At 32.2% G+C, this 26,620-nt stretch overlaps 1 protein-coding gene across 16 annotated transcripts in view, besides 1 other annotated feature; it reads right to left on the reverse strand.

The window, feature by feature from the left end:
• Nucleotides 1-26,620, reverse strand: part of DENND1B (DENN domain containing 1B) — a 277,403-nt gene that overhangs the window by 152,064 nt on the left and 98,719 nt on the right. For all 16 annotated transcript variants that reach the window (NR_125340.2, XM_011509248.3, XM_047447711.1 and 13 more), the window contains 3 exons: nucleotides 17,309-17,358; nucleotides 15,226-15,345; nucleotides 1,489-1,558 (listed from right to left, as the gene is read on the reverse strand). Coding sequence is in view for 13 of the 16 variants with exons in the window: in XM_011509248.3 (XP_011507550.1) it covers nucleotides 1,489-1,558; nucleotides 15,226-15,345; nucleotides 17,309-17,358 (240 nt within the window). In the remaining 3 variants the exon portion in view is untranslated. The remainder of the gene's footprint in view (nucleotides 1-1,488; nucleotides 1,559-15,225; nucleotides 15,346-17,308; nucleotides 17,359-26,620) is intronic.
• Nucleotides 16,874-17,074: a silencer, noted in NCBI's record as "peak643 fragment used in MPRA reporter construct". NCBI's record gives its function as "represses an SCP1 promoter by STARR-seq MPRAs in K562 erythroleukemia cells {active_cell/tissue: K562}" and the evidence as "EXISTENCE:reporter gene assay evidence [ECO:0000049][PMID:32103011]".

Below are 26,620 nucleotides of genomic sequence, written 5' to 3' on the forward strand. Positions count from 1 at the left end.
ATTTAAAAAAAAAATCAAAGATTAAGGGAAAAAAAAATTAAAATCATTATCCCATAGAATTTTGTTCATTCAAAAGCAAACTACAGTTTTAATTTTATTTTTTAAGAAAAGCATAAAGACTTTTATTGAGAGCTAAAACTATAAAATTCTTAGAAGAAAACATATGAAGAAAGCTTTGAAAGACTGGATTTGGAAAAGATTTCTTGGATATGACACCAAAAGCACAGGCAACAAAAGACAAAAACTAGATAAATTGGACTTCATTAAAATTAAAAACTTTTGTGCATCAAACAATACTATCAAAAGAACAAAAAGGCAGGCAAACCATAGATTGGGATAGAATACTCGCAAATCATCTATCTAATAAGAAATGAATATTTGAATATATGAAGGACTCTTACGATTCAACAACAAAAAACGCAACATGATTTAAAAATGGGCAAAGGACTTGAACAGACCTTCTACAACTTTTGACTCAATACCTATTTGCTATTGAGACACAGATAAAAGAGTTCCAACAAGTACTTCTCTAGAGACTTTTCCTGACTCTCCAGGTTGACTTAGGTGATGCTTGCTGTGTTCCCAGAGCATTTATCCCAGGTTGTAATTTTCTGTCTGCACAATTAAAGACCTTCTCCAAAGAAGCTATAAAAATGGCAAGTAAATGTCCAATATCACTAACCATTAAGGAAATGCAAATTAAAACCACAACAATACACCACTTTGCACATACATTACAAAACTATTAACCAAAAAAGAAAAGAAAAGAAAAGAGCGAGTATTGGCAAGATTGTGAGGGAAACGGAACCCTTGTACATTACTGATGGGAATGAAAAATGTGGACACTGTGGAAAATGTGGACACTGTGGAAAATGCTCTCATGATTCCTCAAAAAATTAAATGCAGAATTATCTTACTACCCAGTAATTCCACTTTTAGGTATATACCCAAAAGGATTGAACCCAAGGGCTGGAACATTATTTGTACAAACATTTTCATAGCTATATTATTCACAATAGCCAAAAAGTAGAGGAAGCACCCCCAGTGTCCATTGACAGAAGAATGAATGAACAAACTGGGGTGTATTGATATTCAGTCTTAAAAAGAAAAAAATTCTGACACATGCTGCAACATGGATGAATCTTGAAGACATTATGCTAAATGAAATAAGCCAGTCACTTGGCAAATAAGGACAAATACTGTGTGAGTCCACTTATATGAGATACATAGACTATTCAGATTCATACAGATGATACAATGGTGGTTGCCAGGGATGGTAAGGGTTGGGGAGGAATGAGTAGATACTGTTTAATGGATACAGACAGAGTTTTAGACTGGCAAGGAAAAAAGATGTATGGTATTGATGATTGCAGATCAACATTAATGTACTTAATGTCACAAAACTATACACTTAAAAATGGTTAAAATGGTAAGTTTTGTGTTATAAGTATTTTACCACAATTTAAAAATGGGGAAAAAATAGCTTACCAGTTCCTTAGCCAAGTAATCTGCAAGAGTATTTAGAAGCTTGTAATACACTTCAAACCAGGGAAGGTAACTGTAAAATAATTATTTTAAAATGTATATACATAAAATTCAGAATCAGAAAACAGACAATATAAACATTTAATTCATATTAATTCAAACAGGTTAATCCTGGAGGTCAAAAAAGAACTATACCCATTTTCTTTACTTTTTCAGCAAAGTTTTACATATTATTTATTACTAGTTTTCATAAAACAAATCAGAATCTAGAGTTCTATTTAAAAAGCTGTTCATTACATACTTCTATTTTACATCAGCAATATTTAAAATTATTTTCATGGTATTCAATAAAAGCATGCATAAGATAAAAATTAACCACTGTAAAAAAATCATATAAAAACTAGTTTTAAAAAGCTTTTAAAACAAAAGATATCAAAAATATCTCCTTTTAATATGTTACTGGAGTATATAATACAACAAAACTATGTGTTTTTCAATTCTTCAGAAATGATGTTTAAGAATGATGGCAAATTTCAAAATAACTCAATACACATATCAAAAAGACTATTCTAAAAATTATAAAAAATTTTAAATGACTTTTATATATCAAAACCAAATATAATTCAAAATTTAATTCATTGTACTAGATAAAACTATAATTTTTATGATAGCAAAATATTAAATCCAAAAATCATTTATATAAAACAAAATCTATATTCCTTATTAAAAATTAAAATAGTATATTTTTTAATGTCTAAAGATTTTAATGTTAAACTGTACACTTTTCATGTAGAATAAGAGGAAATCACAAAATACACTGTTGTTAATTATCAATTGACAAATACTCAAGACTTTTCTTCAAAGCATTAATACAACATGCTACTTTTAAGAGAAAATATTGTGATGCTTTTACTACATAATTGTACACAGATTAATAGTACATACACATAACATGTAAAATTTAAAAATCAGTAAGTAGAACGTAAAAAAAGAATTCTAACAGGATTTTTTTTCATATAATGTCTGATTTGTTAGTGACTATGAATGATGCCATTTGAATCAGAAACTGAAAGTAGTAATAAAAGAGGAATTTAGGTAAACTACAGTATCTTTACTCAGCAGAATGTTATAGCGTTATTTAAAATGATAATTACAAATACTACGTAATGATATGAAAACTGATATGATACTTTAAAATATCTACCCAACTCTGGTTAAATCTAACATATTGACTGTATGTAATTATCTCTGTGTCCTCTGGAAATAACTCCAAAATGACAATAAATGAATAAAAAGGGTATATATTAATGAATACAAGCAAAATGGAGGAAAAAACAATAGCAATGCAGGTGGATGACTTTGTAAATATGGTAAGCAGAAAGATAACTAACAGCAGAAAAGAGTAAACCAAAACCTAAATGCCATTAGAAAGGAAAAGGACCAGCAGAAGTGCTCCCTAAAGAGTTCTGAAACACTGATTTAACAGTATCTCAAAGAAAAAAGCCCCTCGAAGTCCTATTTTCTTGGAATGAAACCCACTACTATACATGCAATGTTTCCAAATCAGTTTAATACCTTCCTTTTGAATACAAATTAATAGCCAACCACCAGATATTTGAGGAAACACAAATACAAAATGTTTATATTGAACATAAAAGGAACTACAAGTAAATATAGACAATACAAACAGCTGAAGAGAACTCCAAAACTTATATTTAATATCCTTAGGAGCTGAATTAAGAGCAGGAAGCTATTAAAAAAAAACTAAACTTTTCTAAAAAGTAAAGATAGAAAGTTTTAGACAGGAAGAAAGAGCTTTAAGAAATTCTAAAGTCAGAAAAAAATTAAAGTCAATAGAAAGTTTAGATGATAACTCCAGAAAATCTCCCAGAAACTAGAATAAAAAGATAAACAACGCTTGTAAGTTCTATTCCTAGGTATTTTATTATCTTTGTAGCAGCAAACCACCATGGCATGTGTATACCTATGTAACAAACCTGCATGTTCTGCACATGTATCCCAGAACTTAAAGTATAATAAATAATAATAATTTATGTTCATAACAAAAAAGATAAATAATAAGAGAAAAATATTACACTATCAGGCCATCAATCTCAACTATCATATAGCTATAGTCATTCCATAAAGAAAAAATAGAGGAAAGAAATGAATGAAAGTTTCATTTTAAAGAATGACTGGAAATTTTCCCAGAACTTCAGACATGAGTCTCCAGACTGAAAGAATGAGTGAATGAACAGCACAAAGAATGTTCCAAACCAGAGTATCACTGTGAAATTCCAAAACAAGGGATAGAAGAGTGCCTAAGAGTTTCCAAAGAGACAAAACAAGTAACAAAGGGATCAAGTTCAAAAATGTCATCAAACCTCTCAACAGCAATAAGGAAAGTTAGAAGATAATGCCTTCAAAATACAAAGGTTAAATTCTTTGCACTCAAGACTTCTATGTCCAGACAAACTATCAATAAAGTGTGAGAACAGATTAACAGCATTTTCAGTCAGGCAAGGACTCAAAACTTCACCTCCTAAGACATCCTAAAGGATGGCTAAAATAAAATAAAGGAGATGAAAAAGAAGGAATACACGGATGTAGGAGGCAAGAAATCTAAGACCATGGAAGAACAGTTGTGCAAAGGCCTCGAGAGCAACCAGCCCAGACTGAATCAGGAATGAAGGCTCTAGGAGGGAGATGCTGGAACGGGGTGTTTACAATAAGCATATTGACAACTTTGCCTGGAAGCCTGGAAAAATCTGGACAGGTATGTGACACATCTGTGACAGTTTTTGGGGAATCTAAAAATTAGAAATTACTATTGGTAATCTCAATTTTCCTACTTAAATTACTTAACTCTTCAAGCCCCAGTGCTTAGATCGCTATTTTACTATGTGTATCTTCCACTTACAAATAAAACCCTTAAAAATTACTAATACTTTTATAATACTAACTAAATATAATGCAAATCAGCACATCATAGTTTCTGCATTCACTATAACTCAAAGAAATAGTTTTCATGGCAAATTTCCTTCCACCAAGACACATAATCCTTAGTTAGAGCCTAATTGCTTTCATTTGTAGTCATTTCAAACTCACATTTCAACTTTTAATAGCCTGAAGAAATTGCTATTTCCAGACAATTTCAATGTGTCATGTAGTTCAGACCTAAAAATTCAGATGAGACCTAATCTATTCAAAGAACATGCTGGTCTGTTTCTATCCAACTCTCAAGGAGCTTTAGATAAAGCAAAATGTATTGATTGTAGGTGGCTGCATGTCTACCTGTTAATGCTTACATTGTCATTTTCACCTTATTTAAATAAAGTGAGGCCTTTGGTAACCTTAATTTTTCTTTCATGGTCTACTATAAAAACTATATACATAACAATAATTATGTTATTAGAAAGTGAGATAATGTTTTTCATTCTAGACCAAAAACCCTTAACATTTCTTTCAATGTTCTGGTTTTCTGAACTTTATATTATTGTTTTTCACTGGTTATCTTCCCCTTTTAATTTCCTTTCAAATTGCAAAGGCACATCAGAATCAGATTTTTCATTAAGAAGCTAATTTATACAGATAAATATAATTTATCTGTAAGACTATATCCTTGTCTTTGAATAAATAATTAATATATCCATATTTAAGTTACTTTTAAAAATTTAAACAGTTTTTATTTGTGCTAGGCATTTTGGTATCTACGTAATTATTACTGTTTTTTACATGTCCAAGATAATAAGCTTTATTGAATTTCATCCTGGTACCAGGCTATGACTTCATCTATAAATCAAACTATGACTTCATCTATAAATTAAACTAACACTGTTTAGAAATAAGCTTTACCCTTATGGGATATTTCTCATAGTCATCTCTAAGGCCCCAAAATACTTTATTATTTCTATTTGGGGAGTATAACTCACTAGTTAGTTATACGTCCATCTAGGGGTTGAGAGCAGAATCTAAGAATCATAGAATTTATGTGTTAAAACAATTGGAAGTGCAGGAAGTAAAATTACTTAAGGAGTAACTATATGAATGACAGTACATTGGATACTTATATGTATTATCTCATTTAATTCTTACACTAATGCTTTGATACATACTTGACTAAGATAAAGCAACTTATCTAGGGTCACAAAGCTATGGAATGGCAATCTTGGGATTAGAACCCTAATCAACCTGAGTAATATATGCTCAGGGGTCTACCACAGACAGTCTATCACCCTATCTTGGCGTGTATTTCTATATAGCGAGCCTTTTTTAAAAAATATATACTTTAAGTTCTAGGGTACACGTGCACAATGTGCAGGTTTGTTACATGTGTGTGTATACATGTGCCATGTTGGTGTGCTGCACCCATTAACTTGTCATTTACTTTAAGTATATCTGCTAATGTACAGTGAGCCTTTTAATAAACATGTTCAATGACCAGGCATTTCAGGCAGCTAAATGAACTGAGACAAAAATCATTCTGTTGTAATCTTAAAACAGCCTGCCTATATGTCCTATCCACTGAAGCAAATTCTATCTTCTAAAATTCATTTGTTTATTTAACATTCAGAGCATTACCTTTATGACTTTTAAATTATAGTTTGTTCATAGGGGCAAATTTCCCAACAAATAAAGGTCTATTCAATGTGATTCTTTAAAGTAACATTTTGGTAAACCCTTCCAATTTTAAGTTTGGTATTGCTTCTGTGTTCATCACTGTGGATAAAAATTTTGAAAAGGATATGGCCTGCAAAAGTCTTCAAGATGCCTCCCAAAATAACACCAATTATTTATCAACATTCTAAGTATGAAATTTTAACCTAATCAAAAGACTCATAATTGTATCATCTAACCAACACTTTTCTCTGCACATAATTTGTTTGTGAAATATTAGAACAGACTCAAATTTCAACTACAGCACTCCCTGTTACATCAGTATGTACTATCACCATAATAAACCAAGCCTAGTTATAAACAATGCTCTCTTTGTAAACATGTACTGGCTCTCAGTGATAACTTTCTCCTTTTAAAGAGTACATATCATTCATTTTTTAAATAAAAACATCACATATAAAAGTGGAACTACTCTATAACGTAGCCATTGCTCCTAGAAACGTCAAGAAAGCAAGGACATTTTCTGTTGTAAATAAACAAGCATCTACAGCAAACAGTGCTAACTGGCTATTTGCAGGCTGCTTCTATCCTAAGGGCATATTTTGTTTGGTCAACACTGTACTGTTGTTTAATTAAATAAGTTGCCAACTTCCAAATCTGATATAATTCACTGTAAAAATCCAGACTTCTTGTTTCTCTTAAAAGTCAAAAGAACTGGTAATACTGGCCACACATTTTTCACTGTGCAACAAATTCCTAGGGCTGAGTTGTGGCTTCTGTCTTTGAGTGTGGCATGTACTATTCAGATCACCGTACTTACCCCAACTTCCTATTGTTAGGCACCTAACAGGTTTCTCTCATTTGAGCCCCTTACCTGGTCTACATAGGTAATTGAATTCACAACTCCTGATAAGAAGCAACTGCTCAACAGGAAATCCTACCGACTACTCACTTTCTTATCTGACAAGAAAATGATCCAGGGTATACAAAGTAGTCCAGTAATTCCAATTTTAACTATACTCTAAGTACACTTTAAGTCTAAATATATGGCAAAAACAACATCATTTTTAAAAAGAAAACTTTTGAAACACACACATACACACACACACACACACAGAGAGAGAGATAAAAAATACTGTAAATTATATAAGCTTATGTTGCTAGAGTAAGAAATGTTATTTTCAAGTCTTTATTTTGTGGTTTCTTAGGGAATTTTCAAACGATACATGCTCAAAGCAACTAATTTTAAACTGATTATCAATAAGGTAAAATGTTAAAATGTTTTTCACTAAATTTTACAGTCCCAAAGACAGTCAAAGTCTGTATTCTTACAACAGACCACAAAAATCCTAGGAAGTTAAAAAAAATTACTCGACATATTGTAACAAGTGAATAAGACACTTCACTTGAATTTTTAAAATTGAACAAAGAATAACTGTGACTCTCGCACTCTTGCCAACATATATAAATGTAAAACATTATGAGCAATTATTTTAAAACAAAGTACAGGAGATTAGTTAAAATTTAATTGTAAGATCATTTCCTTAATTTTCTGTAAAGACATAAGGCAAAAGAGAGAGATATACATAAAGTCATGAGTCCATTTTGTGGTAGTAAGAAGACTTCCCCCACACTTCTACTTCCACTATAGAGCTGATAAAACTTTTACATTCAAAAGTCAAAGGTTAAATAAAGGAAAGGAAATGTTTTTTGTCAAATAGTCAGGTAACCACTAAAGTCTAAGCAATCAGCAGGAACCTAACTTATAGTAATCAAATAAAACTAAGGAAACTGCCTTTCCGTAGGAAAACATCTAATGTCTAGAGGCTGTTTTTCTGTCTGGAAAATTGACACAAAATGTGTAAAATTGAAACATTCTGCTTCTAAGGGATTTGCCCAAAGGAAGAGTGTGAAAGCTTTAGGTTTGGAATGAGTTAAAGGGGGGAGGGGGAACTACAAAGGCCCTAAACATAAATCTGTCTTCCTTATTGGAGTATTTCATTTTGAACCCTTGGCGACAATTTTATAGTTATAAAATTATGTTAATCAAATTAGGTTAAAAAGTTATTTCTTGCATTTTTGCTAGCATATGAAACAATTCTAAATACAAACAATTGCCAGATTTAAATTAGTAATATCTCAGGATATTTTTGAAATCTTGTTAAAAGTAGGATAGACATGTCATAGAAAGAACAAAAGAACAGAACAGTGGCTCAAAATTAAATATCAACTTTTGTATTAAATAGGCCTAAATTCTAATTTTTTTTCTGAAAGGTGAACAAAATAAATAGAAATCAAAGAAATGTACTAACTTTCAAATCTTGTAATGGCATAAATCCAGGAGAAAATGGACACGTGGTTTATATAGCATAGCATGCAATTTTCTCGGAACTCCGAGGTAAATGCAGATTACAGTAATTTCAAGTCCTATAATAGCATCATCCAGGAGTAGATAAAAGCAGCTTTAAAGCATTATATACAAATGTTCTAGCTTAGAACTCTAAGGACTAGAATAGTTTTTTGGGTTTTTTAAAAAATAATGCATACATGTCACTAAGCAGACCACTTGGCTATGGTAAACAAACACTAAATGATGTTGCTGTTAATTAATTGCCACATAGTATCATTAGTATCAACATCTTTAACCAAAAGAGTCTCTGCCAGTCAAGAAATCCAAACAAAATTATTTTCTGCTATTTCTAATGAAAATATTCTATCAATTTGTACTGTTTTACTTTACTTTGACTTGAAATATCTTAAAGCTTCTTAAATGTATGGCATTTTAATTATGTCTATGCTTCAACAAAAGCTCAAGAGACATTCATAAATATTTTTCTTTTACAATTTTTGGATTAAAAGACAACTTCAAACAGTAGAAGATAGCTCACAAATGAGAAGATTTTTATGAAAATATATTTTATCACAATAGAAAAAAATTAGTGTTTAGGATATTGGAAAGACAATAGGAGAAACATCAATTAATTTCTGTCCAAGAATCTTAATTCCTTTGCTTCTGACAATGAACTCTGGATAATCAAGCCATTATTATCTCACAGTAGAATACCTACAAATGGAGAATGCTTCAGTATAAAGGCACTAACTTTGCACAAAAGGCACCTTTAAGGAGAAGGTATTAACATATTTTAACATCCAAAAGTCATAATACACTACTGGTAAAGATATAAGAAAGTGATTAAATATAACCTATATTCAGAAGGGAAATATTTTTGTGTGAAATCTCAACTTACAAGAAAAGAAACAACAGCAATGAACAATTGTCAGATTAAGCATGTGTAAACATTCTAGGCACTTATGGACAATATGAAAGCCACTGTAGCTTTTTCAATTTATGAACTGCTTTAGATGCATTCATTCATTTTGCAAACTGTGAATAAAGACTACAGTTAATCATTTATTTTGACACAGAAAAATCTGTAAATGTATCTTAGCAAGTCTTTTGAAATAAAACTAGAACTAAATACCAAAACATAAGTGACAATTATGTGTTCACAAATATAAGTGATTTTTATTTTATCTTTTAAACTTCTCTGGATCCTCCAAGTTTTCTATAGCAAATAAATTATTTTTGTTATCAGAAATATGGTTAAAGGCATATGTCTATGTCTTGCTTATGCAAGGATTTTATCAAACTTCTCAATAAATTTTGGCCCTATTAAGCACATGAATTCTAAAAGTGAGGTCACTCCTACAAAACTGATTGCAAACAAAAAGGCTTTTGCCAGCTACTCATAAATAACTCAGAAAATGAGCATAGTTGATCTTCTCTCATATACTTCTGGAAGCAGCACAGTCTGTTATAAAGGAAGCTGGCCTGTAAATTAAGAGACCTGACTACCCTAAACCATTGTATGAATAGCTCATTAGATAATCCTACCTTCCTTTTCCCCCTAAAATTACTAGTTATTCTAAGTCTTGGTTACATAGTGAAATAAGGCAAACTAGGCTGGGGGCAGTGGCTCACGCCTGTAATCCCAACACTTTGGGAGTTCAGGCGATTGAGACCATCCTGGCCAACATGGTGAAACCCCGTCTCTACCAAAAATACAAAAATTAGCTGGGCGTGGTGGCGCAGGTCTGTATTCCCAGCTACTCTGGAGGCTGAGACAGGAGAATCGGTTGAACCCGAGAGGCGGAGGCTACAGTGAGCAAAGATTGCGTCACTGCATTCCAGCCTGGCCGCAGAGCGAGACTCCATCTCAAAAAAAAAAAAAAAGACAAACTTTTTCAACCACATCTTAAGGGTACAGTAAAATTAAGTAACCACTGTTGAAGAAGGAGAAAAAAGAAATTAATTTTAGGTGTCATAGAATTTCTCCAAGCATCTTACAAATCATTGCCATCTGGTTGAACATTTTGTGTTGAAATTACAGAGAAACATCAATATCTGGCTCAAAGATTGTAAAGCCACCCCATCAGCAATATTTTTTTCTCTTTAAATCCCAATTTTCAAGGACACGGAATGAAACTGTCCCATTCCCATTCTTTTTATTTTTATTTATTATTATCTTTTTTTTCCGAGACAGAGTCTCTCTGTTGCCAGGCCAGAGTACAGTGGCACAATCTCAGCTAACTGCAACCTCCGCCTCCTGGGTTCAAGCGATTCTCCTGCCTCAGCCTCCCAAGTAGCTAGGATTATAGGCGTGCGCCACCACGCCCAGCTAATTTTTGTATTTTTAGTAGAGACGGGGTTTCTTGACCTCGTAATCCGCCCGCCTCGGCCTCCCAAAGCACTCGGATTACAGGCGTGGGCCCCTGCACCAAGCCCCCAATTCCATTCTTAATTCTGCTATGTCACCATGATCACCTGACTTGTATGGAGTGCCTATACTAAAACATACTAGTAAGATAATTTCCCATCCTGCAAACACGCACATATTTTACCTGGTAATATAGCTAAATTCCTACTAATTTTTAATATGATACCTGTGGTTCCATATTTATAGTTTATTATCTATATCATAACATCTCAGAGTTTTAGAGCAGGAAAAAATTGAAATGATTTTTGCTTATTGTAAAAAGTAGATAAATGCTGAAGTGAATAAAGTAAAAAAAATTCAGGGTATATCCTTTTAGACTTTTTTATAAGTACATACAATCCCATATTAAGATACAAATATTTATGTGTTAGCTATTTCTTAAAATACATATACATTTACATACACATATAACTTGTTCTCTACAAATATAACAACATACTATAAATATTATTTTGAAATTTTTCATCATGTTACAACAGATCATAAACAATTTCTCTAAGTCAGGGTGTATATATGTGTATGTTTTTCTTAATAGCAAAAACTGTTGCTGCATTATTCATTTATTTATTCAATAATTATCTATCAAGTCTATTAAGAATTATGTGCCAGGCACTATTGTAGACACTGGGAATATATGAGTAAACAAAAGACAAAAATCCCTGCCCTCATGAGGGTAACATTCTGGTGGGAAAGAAGGGAAGGGGTAGTGGGACAGAGAGGAGGTTACAAAATGTACCATAATATACCTAATCAATTCCTACTGAGGGGCATTCATGTTGTCAACACTTTTAAATTTATTTTTTATTATTTCTTTAAATTGACAGATAAAATTCTACGTACTTATTGCGTATACTTTCTTTTCAAGTATAACCTCCTCTCTGTCCCACAACCCCTTCCCTTCTCTCCCACCAGCATGTTACTCTCATTGTTTGTATATACTTGAAAACATTGTTTTCAAGTACATATACATTGTGGAATGACTAAATCTAGCTAATTAGCATTTTTCCTACTATAAACCATGCTGTAATAAATACCTTTGTTCATACTTTTCTCCTCACTCTTAGAAATAATCCTGGATTTAAATTCCTAGAACTGAAATTACTGACTGAAGAAATATGAGATTTTATAATTTTAATAGATATTATTAAATTTTCCTTCAAAAGCTTATACCATTTTTTAGTCCTACAAACAGCACATGAAGTGTGTTTTCCCTCATGCTTATTTAAAAATTTTTTCAATTCTGCTAATCTTAATGGGCTCATTTTTTTTACCCTCAGCAATGCTGAGCATCATGCATAGCTGCATATATTATTTACATTTCCTCTGTAAGTTATTAGATGCTTTACTTATTTTTCTATCAGATTATTTTTCTTATTAACTTGTAGGTGCTTATTATGTATTTTGGCTATTAACCCTTTCTTATAGTGGTTGTAAATATATTTCCACCAGTTTATTATTTGCATTTTAGATTTTATTATACTTGTCACCATACAAGCATTTTCATCATTATGTGCTCAAATACACAAATCTTTTAGGGATTCCATGTATACTCTCACTGCCACAGTAATTTTTTTCTTCTAGTTGACATTTATAGCTTTATCCATCCTTTCAACAATTTTAAAGCTAAAAGTGGTGAAGGACCCATCAAACTAGGTGGATAAACTCGGACTAAAAGCACCATAACTCCTCTTATTGTAGCACTTACAGAAACCTGCCAAAATTCCTTTCCAGGGGATACACTGATTATAGCTTACAAATAGACATTTACCTATCTATAATTTTCCAATTTTCTGAATAAGATGCTGAATTCTATTATATTTGAATCCTCCATTCATTATTAAAATTAAATAGTTATCTAATTTGCTGGTTATTCTCTAAATCAGCTGTTCTCAAAGAATCCCTTCACATACTGTCTTTCAGAAAAAATATTAAGATATGCCATTAAAATCTTAAAAGGGCAATATTTTTCTAATTTACTAGGAAAAATAAGCTGAAGAATAGAATTTTCTAAATTTAAGATTTTCCTCTATGATTTTTTCATAAAGTTTTGACACCTCCTACTTCTTATCTACCAAAAGCACTGTCAAATGACAAAAATAAATATAAAAGGAAACATTATTTTAAATAAAAGATAAAATATTCAATAATACTGTGAAATGTTCTCTTTATTGGAATACACGATTTTACTTTTGGTTTTCATTATCTTTATCTAATATAATCATATTTTCTGCAGGTTAAAAACTCTTCCTACTTCAAAGAATATACCACAAAATTCAGGCGTTCTTCTACATATACAAGTTTAGAACCGCAGATAAAAATAATTTGATTATTGTATTTGCTTTAGAGTTTGTTTTCTACAAATTAATGACAATTGGGTTGTCGATATGGACATTATATTATTCTTTCAGTCGATTAACAAATAGTTATAGTTCATGTTTTGTATAAATATTTTCAAGTAATGATGGCTTTCCTCAATTTAAACAGAAATTCCTAAGAATATTTATTCCACAAGCACATTTATAGAAACTATTCTAAACATTCAATAATTATTTGTGAATGATTAATAAGTTCAATGTATTCAAAGTATTTTAAGAGTTCAAAACAAAAGGCTCAGACTTTTAAATTATAAATATCAGGAGGTCAGTTTAGAGGCAGTGAGGTAAGCTATAAAATACAGACTCAAATCTTACCTGAAAATGATGTTTACTCTCAAATGGGTGCACAAAAACAACAATAAAGGTGGGGGGAAGACTGTGTGTGTGTGTGTGTGTGTGTGTGTGTGTGTGTGTGTGTATTGAGAGAGAAAGGAAGAGTAGGGGAGAGGGGGAGAGAGGAAGAGAAATGCATGCTAACAACTTATGAATCTAGGTAATGTTTATATAAAAGTTTATTGTACCATGAAAATTTTTCTGTAAATCTCAATTTTTTAATGAAAAGTTTCAAAAATGCATTGAGAAAAATAAGAAAGCATATACAGCTTTGGTCTTTCCATTAGGGCAAATCCATCTCGGGCACAGTGCATAAAGATATACTCCCCTTTAAACTGTAGCTTTTAAAATTTCAGCAGGAAACAATGATAAAAGGAACTCTCCCCACCATTGCCCACACTGTCATCTCCAACCCCACTGCCCAGCCAACCTGCTCCAAGTTCAAAAAAATAACCTACAGTTTTAAGCATGACATTCTTTTGGATAAAGTGTAAGTTTTAAGCACAATTTTTATCCAGATGAAAAAGTTGTGCTAAAGAGAGAATGGGGGCACATTCACGATTCTATAACTTCTAAAGCAGTTAAGCACTTACTTTTGAATAAAGATAGAAAAAAACTCTCCAGCTCTAACCAATGTTGTAAGTAAATTAACAACCTCTCAATGAATGATATAACTGTAGCTAAATATGAATAGCAAATGAACAGGAAGACTGATTTTATACCAAAGTTTTCTTTGTAATATGTTATTTCATAAATTGTTATTTCTTTTCCTATAAGCATTTCTAAGAAATCCAGTTTGACCAATATCCATGTTATAATAATAGTTTGGAGTCCTATTTTTATAGACTACATCTGGATTTCTGATTCATCAGGACATATTGCAAGAATGCTAACCTTTAGAACCCTTTCTTCCTAACAGTCAGCAACTCAGATCCCAAGTCCACAGGCAGGAGACATACTCTAAACTACCTACTGAATCAAGGCAGATAATGTAAGCAATTAGGCAGGACAGATAGGACCTTTGGAAACTAGCAAGCTCATGACACAACTAAAAATCTGCTATTCAGTTCCAGCTTATTGTTGCCATGGCAGAATTAGTAGATAGCCTCACTTTTCAAAAGGAATTCGAAATATGAACTATATACAAAACTTCCTCAAATTCATAAGGTTAACGTCCTTTAAAATTTTTAAAACACCCAGTAGCCAAACGAAAACCTCTAAACGCTTCTACCAGGTTCATCAGTTTGCAACCTCTGTCTTAAAGCAGCAGTTCACTTTTAAAAATCCAAGTTCTGGTTCAGTGACAGAAAAGGGCATACATTAATTTAACTTATTTTTTTTTGTATTCCATTTAATAGGTGAAACTCATATTATTTGAATACATCTCTTTATATTTAGTTTTCAAAAATAACTCTACAAAAAACTAATCTTTAAAAAATCGATTATTTCAAGGAAAGTTCCACTATGTTAATGGTAAATCTTTAAACTTAACTGATTCTGTATACAGAAAATCAGGAAAATTATTTTTCAACTTGTTTTTAAAGAAAACAAGTTTTTCTTCATCCCAAGCATAACAAAGTACAATAGAGAGATAGTTACCTATTTTGCATCTAATTTTTTTTACTACAAATACTCACCTAAGGATGCATAAACAAATTGTGCCTCCTGACGTCAGTCTGCAGAATCCAAATCTCTGTTTACTTTCAATGTCTGTCAGTACAAAGGTAAAGTGCTGTCCAACTTGATTCTGAGACACCCTAAAATATAGTAACATTAGGAAACATTGTGCCTTGTTTGACAATTTTCTTCAAGAAAAACAAAAATAAGAGTATATTTATATGTGACATTGGTTTCATCTTTCTAATCAGTTGGTTCTTGAAGCTAGAACTATGTTCTAAAACTAGAGGAAGTGTGAAACTTGTAAAGTAAACACCAAAATAAGTTGTAATACCTCATAGACTGAACAGTTCAGCATATATTAATCTCTCACTAGGAAATCATAAGGTAGTCTACCATAAATGATCATAAGACTAAAAGTGCTCATATTTCATAAATTATCAAAATATTATTACTGAAACTGTAGAAGCAGCTAGAAATCATGACTAAGTCCTTTTCTTCAACTTTAGCCTCTTTTCTTAATTATTCTAAAATTGCTTAGATAGCAAATCATGTCGCTTTAGAATCTAATGGCAGCCACCACCAACTCTGTTTAATTGCTTCTCCTGTTGACATTCTCATCCAATAAAGTACCCTACAAAAATACCCTTGTTATATTTTTTCTAGAATTCTCTTGTACAGCTATCAATATACTGAGGAATACATTTCCAAGTATAAAATAAGAATATAATTTCTACCAAAATAAAAGGCTTATCAGCTAAGCTGTAAAGAATTCTAGTCAACTTTGAAGTATCATACTACCATAATATGTGTCACACTTTGGTATAAGGGGCAATATAAAACGTTAGATTGAATCTTTATTTCTATTTAAAATATATGAATATATTTCCTAGTACTGGCTGTAATCTTGCCATTAGATAACCATAACCGAACTTTTGCTTCCTTGTCCCAAAATAAAATATCCATGACGCCTACACTTTGGTTTTGAAATAGCCATAGGGATTGTGCAGAAGGAAATAAATTACTGCCAGTATCAATGCTACAAACAGTTTTGTCAGGAAATGTTGCATTTCAAATGCTGAACATTTAACAACTACACTTTTCAGTGGATAGGTTTTTCTTACACTTTAATAAACTTAAAATAAAAAAAAAACCCTCTAGTGACAAATGTGACCTCTAGTGCCCAAGATTCATAATATCCTTTTTGTAGCTGGATCCTAAATCTTCCTTACTATTAATATGAAACGTGTAACTTTTTTTGGTAGGGGTAGGGCAATGATTCCTCAGATAAGGTAAAACAAGGAGTATCATTCATCAACAATGCTTATTAGTACTGATTAGTCCATCATTCAGAAGGCTTTATCTTTAATACAGTAAAATCATAAAGTCTCACTAATACTTTAGCGAAGTATTTTCCTAAAATAAACATTCTTTCAAAAACCCTTCATGTCACCCTCTTAAGTAAACTGAAAATAGAGTATAAAAATCACATGAAAAACAATAAACGATCTGTTGTTATGCTCACAGGGCTGTATGTTCCAAGAAATTTCAACTCTATGCAATTTCATCATTCAGTATTTGTTCAGTGAAATATAAAAACAAGATTTTCAAAACTAGAGGAGTTTCCCTATAGCTTTCCATAATATTACACTACCTCTATAAAGCTATTATTGAGAGACAAGTAGCCATGAGTTTTACAGCATGACACAGATGGTCTTTTCAATGAGGATGAAGTGAGATAGAAACCAGGAAACATACATCAAGACATAATTCTAAGACTCCAATCAAGGTCATATTAGTATTTTTTTCCACTAGTGATCACAATTTCTACCTGAAGAGAGAACAAAGGGAAAAAATAGAACCTGTTGGTAATGTGTTTTCAAACTTGTCTTAACTGGTCATAGTAGAGAAAATAAAAGATGTGATTTAAAAGGCTTCCTCTTCCACATATTAATTAATTTTCAACCTCTTTTCAATCTCTAGCCTTTTTGTGAGAAGCAATAAAGAGAAGGGACATTTTATTTTATAAAAAAGCACATGTAATCATTTTCAAGTATGTACTATAAGAATCTACATTTATTTTAAATGATACTTATACTGTACCTTTCAACGTCAAAGGGAAAACAGAACTTTGGCACACTCTGTAGTATTTCCTACAAATGGAAATTTCAAAAAAAAGAAATAAGTTTTAGAATATTTTTTAAGAAGCAGTTAAAACTTCTTTGAGACATTTTCTAGGAGAAAAAGATGCTTTCTTTGTCCTTAAGAAAAATAGCACAGGTTCCTAGACTAAAATAATTGATTATTAAAAAGGAATTAAGTTTGTGCTTTGGCAGATTGCACTGACAATGCCACAGAAACCCCAGGGGGGAAAGGCCTGGCCTGAAGGGTATTAACACCCTTCACATCCCCGCTGGGATTCCCTTCAACAAGGCCATATGGATTTTACAAGAAGCACCGCACCATATGGGTAAGCTACGTCTGCTGCTACTTGTACCACAGTCTAGCCATAGGGACTTCTGACAGATCCTGGCTCAAAAATATAAATGTTGTTTCAATTAAAATGCAGGCAGAGAAAAGGGAATGAAGTTGGCAGCAGAATGAATTACTGAGAGGTATAACAACTCTACATGTCCCATAGTCAAACAGTTAAAAAAAAAAAAAAAGAGAGAGAGACTTTCTATAGCCAAAGAAACATTTACATGATTCAATTCTTGGTATTAAGTTTTATCTTAACACTCTTAAAGAAATGTGTATCTAAAAACAAGCTGTCAAAAATACAGCTTCTATTCTGTGCACTTTCATTTAAGGATTGCCTAATATGAAAATCAATGCTTTAATAAAACACAGAAAATAATCTGAATGATTTTGAAACCTTCAGTTATTTAACAGTCATTAAAAATAATTTCAAAATCTTTTAGAAACCATACACATTAAAAATTATAATAAAATACAAATAATTATCAGCTACTTGGCAAACAAAGTCTTAATAATCTATTTTGTTATATTTGAAAAATAAAATTAAGTCTGATTCAAAAGTTAAACTTTAAACTTGAAGACAACATCATACAACTTCAAAGTCAGGCAATTTTACAAGACAAAGAATTTTATAAGGATGTTTCCCATTAAAAAGAAAAAAGAGCAAATATCTTAATGCAGCAGTCATCCTCACTGAACAATATTTTTGCTACCACTTCTTTGCCACTAAAACTAAGGTCTACAGAAGTCATCAATATCTGAATATTTAAACCGTATACATAAATATAGCATTGAGTGTTTTAAAGTAGAATTTCTTGCATTCTTTTAAAAAGGTAGACTACAATAAAGTGTCAACTAAAAATAAAACATTATAAAATTCCAATACCAATACCTAAGAAAGCTTCAGTGCCTTAATGCACATAAGCAGAAAGAAAAGGATCTTGTAAAAAAAAAAATCATCTACTCTTAGGGCAGGGTACCCTGGATTGCTTATAATCATAATCATGTACCTTTAAAAATATGAGCACAGACTCTATATTAAGCGAAAGCTAACTGTTTCACCACTGACAATATTTTGTTAAATGTAGTTAAAAGAGTCACTAAACTTGCAGTAAGTTAAATTCTGTAAACTGAAAAACAGTTCATTGCAAATGAGACCAGTTCATTTTCATTTGACCATTGCTTAATCCTTATCTTGTACTTCATAAAGTGAAACCATTCACCATTTTTACTATACATGTGAACACTATTCAGACCTCCTCCTATAAAATTGTCCACATAATTTCTGTAACAATAAAGAACATATATTCAAAATTCAATATCTCCCTCTAAATACACAAATTAGTAATATATTTCACATCAATTTTAAGACTCAAGACGAACGCTTCCCAGTTAGTTGCTCAATCTTTCACACCCTCCCCCTCCCTTCTTCCACAAGCAACACACGTGCATACACTTCTGTGAAACAGCCTCAGCTCGCTTCCCAACTGGCAGAAGCATCCCTCAGGGGACAAGTCTTTAAACCTCCGCACTCTTTAAAATTCAACCAGCCAGCAGGTCTATAGACTAGTGTATAAACAGTATAGACAAAAAAAAAAAAAAATCCTCTCTCAGCTTATGTCAGTGACAAAGCAGCTCAGCAGTTGACTGTTTCTCCCCTGACAGTATAAACTGGGTTTACACAGATCAATAGCTGGAAGTCCTACCTAGCTCCCAGGGCTTGGTTTTCTTCCTTAATTACAGGTGCTATTGAAACTGAAGTGTAAAAAGAAAAGAGAGAGACTTGGAAGGAGGCATAAAATGCATGCAAATAGCTTTTATGGATCCTCTTAGCAATAGTATTAATTGAAAATTATACTTCCACATTTATTACAAAAGTGTGTGTGAAGGCTGGTATTTTCACTACACAGTGTTTTTAATATGACACATATACAAACACACACACACACACGCACACACGAAATCCTAGGTTAGCATCCACAGATTATGTGAAAGGTTTAAGACAATACTCTCCAGAAGTTATCAATTTTTCCTTTTTCTACAGACTTTTGCATTTAAAGAAAACAAGAAAAATTATTTTGGATTCAGAATCCTCCTAACTCTCCAAAATATTTTATTTTTATGCCAAAAGAGTATATTGGCTAACACATGTCAAATGATAAAAATAGGAATAATAAAAAGAATGGATGGAATAGAATACAAAATTATGAACAGCAAAATGAAAGAGGTAATAATACATATTTCTGTGTATGTCCTAAAACAGCACTTCTACTATCATGTTAATGACTGGAAACAAGGACTGATGAAAATTTATATTTTGGGGGGTTTTGGGTTCCATACCAGTGTATCTCTAGTAATAAGCATTACAATGAAATTGATCTTGTAAGAGAGAACTAGGGCCAATTGCTAGTGTTAGAGTGGTATATTAATTATTTATCCCATCAGGTTACCATTTAGCACCATAAATTGATCAACTGAAAAGGAAAACAAGCATTTAAGAAAGAATTTACTTCAAAAAAAAACACTAACGTTTACATCTTGATCAAAGTTCTTAGAATTTATTCTTAGAACAAAGGTCTTTGAATTTATCTGAGAATAATCTAAGATAAAATGAGATGTGTCATTGTCGATACCACTAATTGTTTTTCCTCCTTCTCAACCACTTTTGTCCTCCACTGTACACTGAAATTTCAGAGCGTTCTCTGAAATTGCATAGTTTCTTCTCTTCCCTACTCAGTAAGATATACCTGTAAGCAATCTCATCTATACCCACAGTTTCAACTACAACTACTAAATCTCTTAGTCTTGTAGTTTAGATATTTCTCCAGGATTATGGCTCTAACTACTTTCTGGTATGACTTTCTAAATGTTCCCAGACACCTCTAATGAAGAATGTACAAAACCAAAGTTGTTCTTTTACTTACGGTCCTTATCACCTAAACTGGCAGCACCATCTACCTAGTTACCCAAATCAGAAACACGGTAGTTACCATGACCCCTCCTTTTCCCTGACCCCCACATATAATTAATCACTCACCAAGTCCTTTCATTCAATTTCATAACTATCTTGCTCCAGATGTTCTCAATGGAGGGTGGAAAGGATTAGAAAGAAGATGAAGAGGTTTTAGAATCACTTGGGAGTGTTTTTCAAAACACAAATTTGATTGCCTACACGAAACCCACAAGGGTCCTGAGTCTTTAACTTCAGTTTGAATACCACCAATAATTAAGGACTAGGAGTAACTACATCAGTTAAGGGTGCTTAATGTATATAAGGAAAAGTTATACTCTCATAGCAAGAAATGACATGGTTGACTTGTTCAGAGACTGTTTAATTCAACAGCTACCTCATGGACCCAGAAGTCTTCCCTCCTGCCCTGCTGGGCTAAATTCGTTGGCTTTTTCCTCAGCTATCTCTACTCATGATCACAAAATGAGCTTCCAGAGTTCAGCACATCTCATGAAGATACAGCAGTGTTCAGTGAAGGAAGCCTCCCTTTCTGTCAGTCTTTTTATCAGTGAGGAAACCTCTCCCAGAAGTCTGATCCCTGACTTTCCCATTACATTTAATTAGCCACAGGGTCATAAGCCACTCCTAAACTAATCCCTGGCAAGGGAAATGGTTATCTATGCTCAGTTTAGCCTTAGACTAGTTAGAGTAAAAGTCAGAATTCAACCCATTCGTCTCCCGATAACCATGACACATGTAATTACAGAGAAATACGAGTGAAGTATATTATATTTTATTTCTTAAGAATCCTCATAATGATATTAATCAAATATTATGTTTATACTAAAGTTCTCAATAAAAATATTACACCATATCATATAAGGACAATTTTAAACTATCTGTAATTTTATTTCATATGAATAACACTTTCAGAATCATTTTGCTACAACTAAATGAGCTACTTGTCCATTTTAATCGAATTTTTCACAAAGGCCATGAATTTCTGAAAAGATGATTACTTAATTTTGAATATTATCCCCCAAATAAGTGAGAATTACCTAATACTACACATTCATTCAATTTATTTATACTTTACACAAGAGAGTAATAACTGAGATTCCCGAACAGCACTTAGATGTTCCAGGGCACCACAGCAAACTCTCAGGGACACCGTCAGATATTTTAAATTTTCAAGGGAAACAAAGTTATATTAACAGGGTGATTAAATCAAAATGCATTTTATAGGGAGAATTATATTAATTTGTCAAATTACAGAGACAGCCTATCATCTTTTATTTTTAAGAAGTGTTCTGCTCCCACTTATGAGTGAGAATATGCAGTGTTTGGTTTTCTAGTCCTGTGTTAAGTTTTCTGAGGATGATGGTTTCCAGCTTCATCCATGTCCCTTGGAGAATATATTTTTAAACTTAGGGCCAAAAAGGAACTGTCAGGACAACTATGCCCAGTGTGGAATTTTTCTCTTGGATTTTACTTTTACGTAGTGTTTTTGTTAGAAATAAATCCCTATTTTACCCCTCCTCCTTAAATTAGGGAAAGCACTCTAAGTCTGTGAATTCCAACACTAAAACTACATAGGTTATTAAATCTGATCAAGTTATTTTTCACTATCAAGAATTTAAAATAAATTTATATTATTAGAATATTAAAATAACTGCCATGAAGCAAATACATTCTGCCATAAAAAGAACTATGTTATAAAATATAAATTTCAGAAATTTCAGTTCTATGTGCATAAGTCTTAGGTGATGAAACCTATGCAATCACTTTAGTTTGATCCAATGTCAATGAAAAAGACTAGATTGGAAGCAGTGCAGAGTGACATTACCAAAAAAAAAAAAATCAGAAGACTATGCATCTGCAGATTCAACCAACTGTGGATTAAAAATATTTGGAAAAAATACAAATAATACATATAAAAAACCAATATACTATAACAACTATTAATAGAGCATTTACACTGTATTAGATAGTATAAGAAATCTAGAGATGATCTAAAATATATGGCAGGATGTGCATAGTTACATGCAAAACAGAAGTCCCATTTTATATAAAGGACTTAAGCATCTGTGGAATTTTGGTATCCATGGGGATCCCAAACCAATAGGATTATATATACACACATATATTCCATGTATTTATGTACTTACATATATTATAAAAATATATATGTATCTAAATATTTTGTGTATGTATATATTTATATATATTATCTATATTTACAACAAGACAAGTGGTGTGCTTGGCAAATAAAAGGCAAAATACATTTATTCTCATTAGTTTAAGAAAGAGAAGTATTTTAAAAAATCAAAGTGTATATATAAGAATATGGGTTTCCAAGGGTTGTTTTTTTTTTTTTTTTTTTTCAAAAATTCTATTAAAAACTGTCTTCAAAGTTATGCCCCAGCCAGGCATGGTGGCTCACACCTGTAATCCCAGCACTTTAGGAGGCCAAGGCAGGCGGATTGCTTGAGCCAAGGAGTTCGAGACCAGCCTGGGCAACATGGTGAAACCCTGTTTCTAAAAAATATATAAAAATTAGCCAGGCATGGTGGCATGCACCTATAGTCCCAGCTGCTCAAGATGTTGAGGTGGAAGGATTGCTTCAGCCCTGGAGGTGATCGCACTACTTGACTCCACTTCACTAGGTGACAGGGACCCTCTCTCTTAAAAAAAGTTGTGTCCCCAGGTTAACACTAGCTTTTAAGCAGAGATTTGAATAGAAATTACCCAGCTCTATCTAAGAAAAAGACATTTGGGAAGACTACCACTCTTTTCCCTTGATGACCATATAACGTCCTACCCCCTTCAGACTAAATATATCTCCGCTTCATTCACTCCTATACTAACTAGTAATATTTTCTAGATCAAAGGAAATAGATCATAAAATAGAACACTCCCCATAATATTTGCTTACATTTCTAGATACTAATGTATTTTTAAATGAATATCAAGCAATCATTTAAATCAAGATAAGTAGACTTAAGATAAGTAGGAAAATGCTTCAAGTTTTAGAAAAAGTTTTACAGCAGTTGACTAATGATCAGTTACCATGACTCCAACCCACAGTTATGTGCTATCGAGAGTAAAGGAAATACAATTCCTAATTTTCAAAACTAGGGAGACTTGAGATCATTAGAAAATAGATGTGTGCAACCCAATAAATATGTACATTTTAAAGTATGTGTTTTATTGAAAATAAAATAAAATTATATTCTTAGATTTAAAAAAGAAAATAGATGGATATTCACATGTACACAAGCACACACACATTAGGCAGCATATCAAAGTAGCCAAGTGTATGACGTACTTAACTCATTCAAATTCTGGTTCTGCAAACTACTGGTTATGTGCTCCAGTTTCCTCATCTAGGAAATGGGCAAAAATTACTGTCTATCTCATAAGATCACACAAGGATTTATTTGAGGAATTTATATGAGGATTAAGTGAAAATAAAATAAAAATCCATATAAAATGATTAGGATAATATCAAGCACATTAACCACCCCCAACAACTGTTAGCTCTTTTATTAGTCAGCTATTTGTTCTAATAACTCTTGTTATATGAATTTAAATTCATATATATTTAACAAGTGTTTACTAAGTACAGTACAATATTAAAGGTCCTGTGTCCAATGCCTGTTGCCAAAACTTTAACATACTGAGATATAATATGATGAAAAGCATTATACTGAATAACTTATCTGCTCTTTTGAAGATTTTTTCATGCATTTTGTAAGTAGGTATGGATATAGATACAGATGTATGTACAAATATATATTTGAATATATGCAACTACTTCTATCTAACCAAACACAATAGAAGCAAACACTGTTAACATTGCAAAGTTATCCGATGTACATATCTGATGATTTCATCACACACAAAAAGCTTACTTTGGACTACTACATTAGCTGCTTTCTTTCAAATTAAAAATACCTTCAGAGTCATATCAACAGATATTTTCAATTTAAGGGGGACATACTGATCAAATTCTTTTATTCATGTACTTATTCAACAATCCAATCATAAAGATTAATCACCAACTCTACATAAGGCACTGGCCAGTTTGAGAAACAGAAGTATTTATTGGTCTCATCTACAACCTAAAAGTAGGCTTTGTCTTCAGACTTTGTCTTCAACTATCTTGACAAAGGGTATTGCTAAAGATAACCTTAGAGAACATCCTTTTTCTATCATTGCCTTGTATTACAGAATTTTGGTTTCTATTTTACTTTTGAAGCAATCATTCTTTGTTCTTTGTCAGTCTCTATTTTACATTTCTCCTCAGTCTTGTAGACACCAAACCACCACATTATTTCTCTTAGTCCTCACACCTAGTCTATGTTCATACTATCTTTCTGTCATCATATTCATGCAAATATTCTCCATTAACTGCCCAGGCCATATATTAGAAAACTGATTTTTGTGCAACAGATGGAACATAGTGATAAAATATGTTTCAGAGCAATAAATTATAATTAACCTTGGTTTTTTTGTTTTTGTTTTTGTTTTTGTTTTTCTGGTCCTGCCTGGAACCTAGTTCAGAACTATCCCTAAACTGCTTGTTTTCCCGAAATAGTAAATCCTGTGATAAACCAGATAGGACTCTTGTGGTTTATCTAGTTGCTTCAAGAAAAAATAAGGCCTTTAGTTTTCAAGAATAAATCAGGGACCCTACATTTTAAAGTGTCTGAAAATATACCTTTAGCTAGTTCTTATATTCTGGCGTCAGTGGCATATTATTAATTATTTATTTAAGCCTTGAATGTCCTGGAAGTCTATGAGATCACCCAGTAGAAATGAGATTCATGGTGTATTTGAAAAGTTTGGAAAAATCATAACTGATTGTTCATTCAGTTATTTGGAAGCTTTGTCTAGAGGAACTAAATTATAATTACACAATTTTTAAAAACAGATTATTTAATGAAGACTATTTACTTAAAAGGTATAAAGTCTAGTCAGTTCCACTCATATATTTACAAACTCAATGTGAAATTATACAAATAACTAATTTTTATGTATATTCACTTTGCAAATATTTAATACATTAGAATAGCAATCGCGGCTAATAACAACATAGAGTAAGAAGAGCATTGGTAGGAAAATTGAAAAATAGTAGGGACTCTAGAAGACAGACATATAAATCAATGTGTGGCAGGTCTAGGAGAAAAGTCCCAAAGGAAGAAATCCTATGTAAATAGAGAAATGAAGAGCGAATAAGAAGTTGGCCAGGCTACAGCATGAGGAAAGAGCGGTGGAGGGGAAGTAGGGGTGGTCCTTCCATCACAGGAAAACATATGTGCAAAGAAAGGTCTGGAGTTGAAAAAGAAGTACAAATGTTGAGATAGTAATAAGACAAACTGGATTGAGAAATAACCAGGGGACTGATTATATAAGGCCTTTAGGCCAATTAAAAATTTTGGACTTAATACAAAGGGTAAGGAAACCATTCCTCCTGGCAACACTTTACATGTATCTTCTCATTATAATTATCAGTAGCATTCTCTTTTACTTTCAAAAGTATCTGAGTTATAATTTACATCAGTGGAAATCAGCGAGTGTTTGTCTGGGGTAGGGGGAGGAGTGGAATGAGGAATCAGAATGGATATTAAATAGATTAACCAGGAAGCAGCAGGAGGGGACTTCCTGGAGTGATAGATTAATACAAGGTATCTTGAAAAGAATATGGGTTACACAGTTGTATGCATATGTCAAAACTAATCTCATTGTATATTTAAGATCTGCATTTGACTACATCTAAATTATAGCTGAAAAATAAATTAATAAATATCTCAGTTTGAACAATAAATCATATGGCTACCCTAAGAGAAATAAAGGCAATTTGAAGGGTTTAAAGCAAGGAAGGGATATGATTGGACTTCAATTTTAGCAAGATCACTCTGGCTATAGTGTGAGAAGGCTGAAAAGGGGCAAGACTAAATGCTGGGGGATCAGATATAAGGCTT

This window comes from Homo sapiens, chromosome 1 (assembly GCF_000001405.40).
Source record: "Homo sapiens chromosome 1, GRCh38.p14 Primary Assembly".
NCBI lineage: Eukaryota > Metazoa > Chordata > Mammalia > Primates > Hominidae > Homo > Homo sapiens.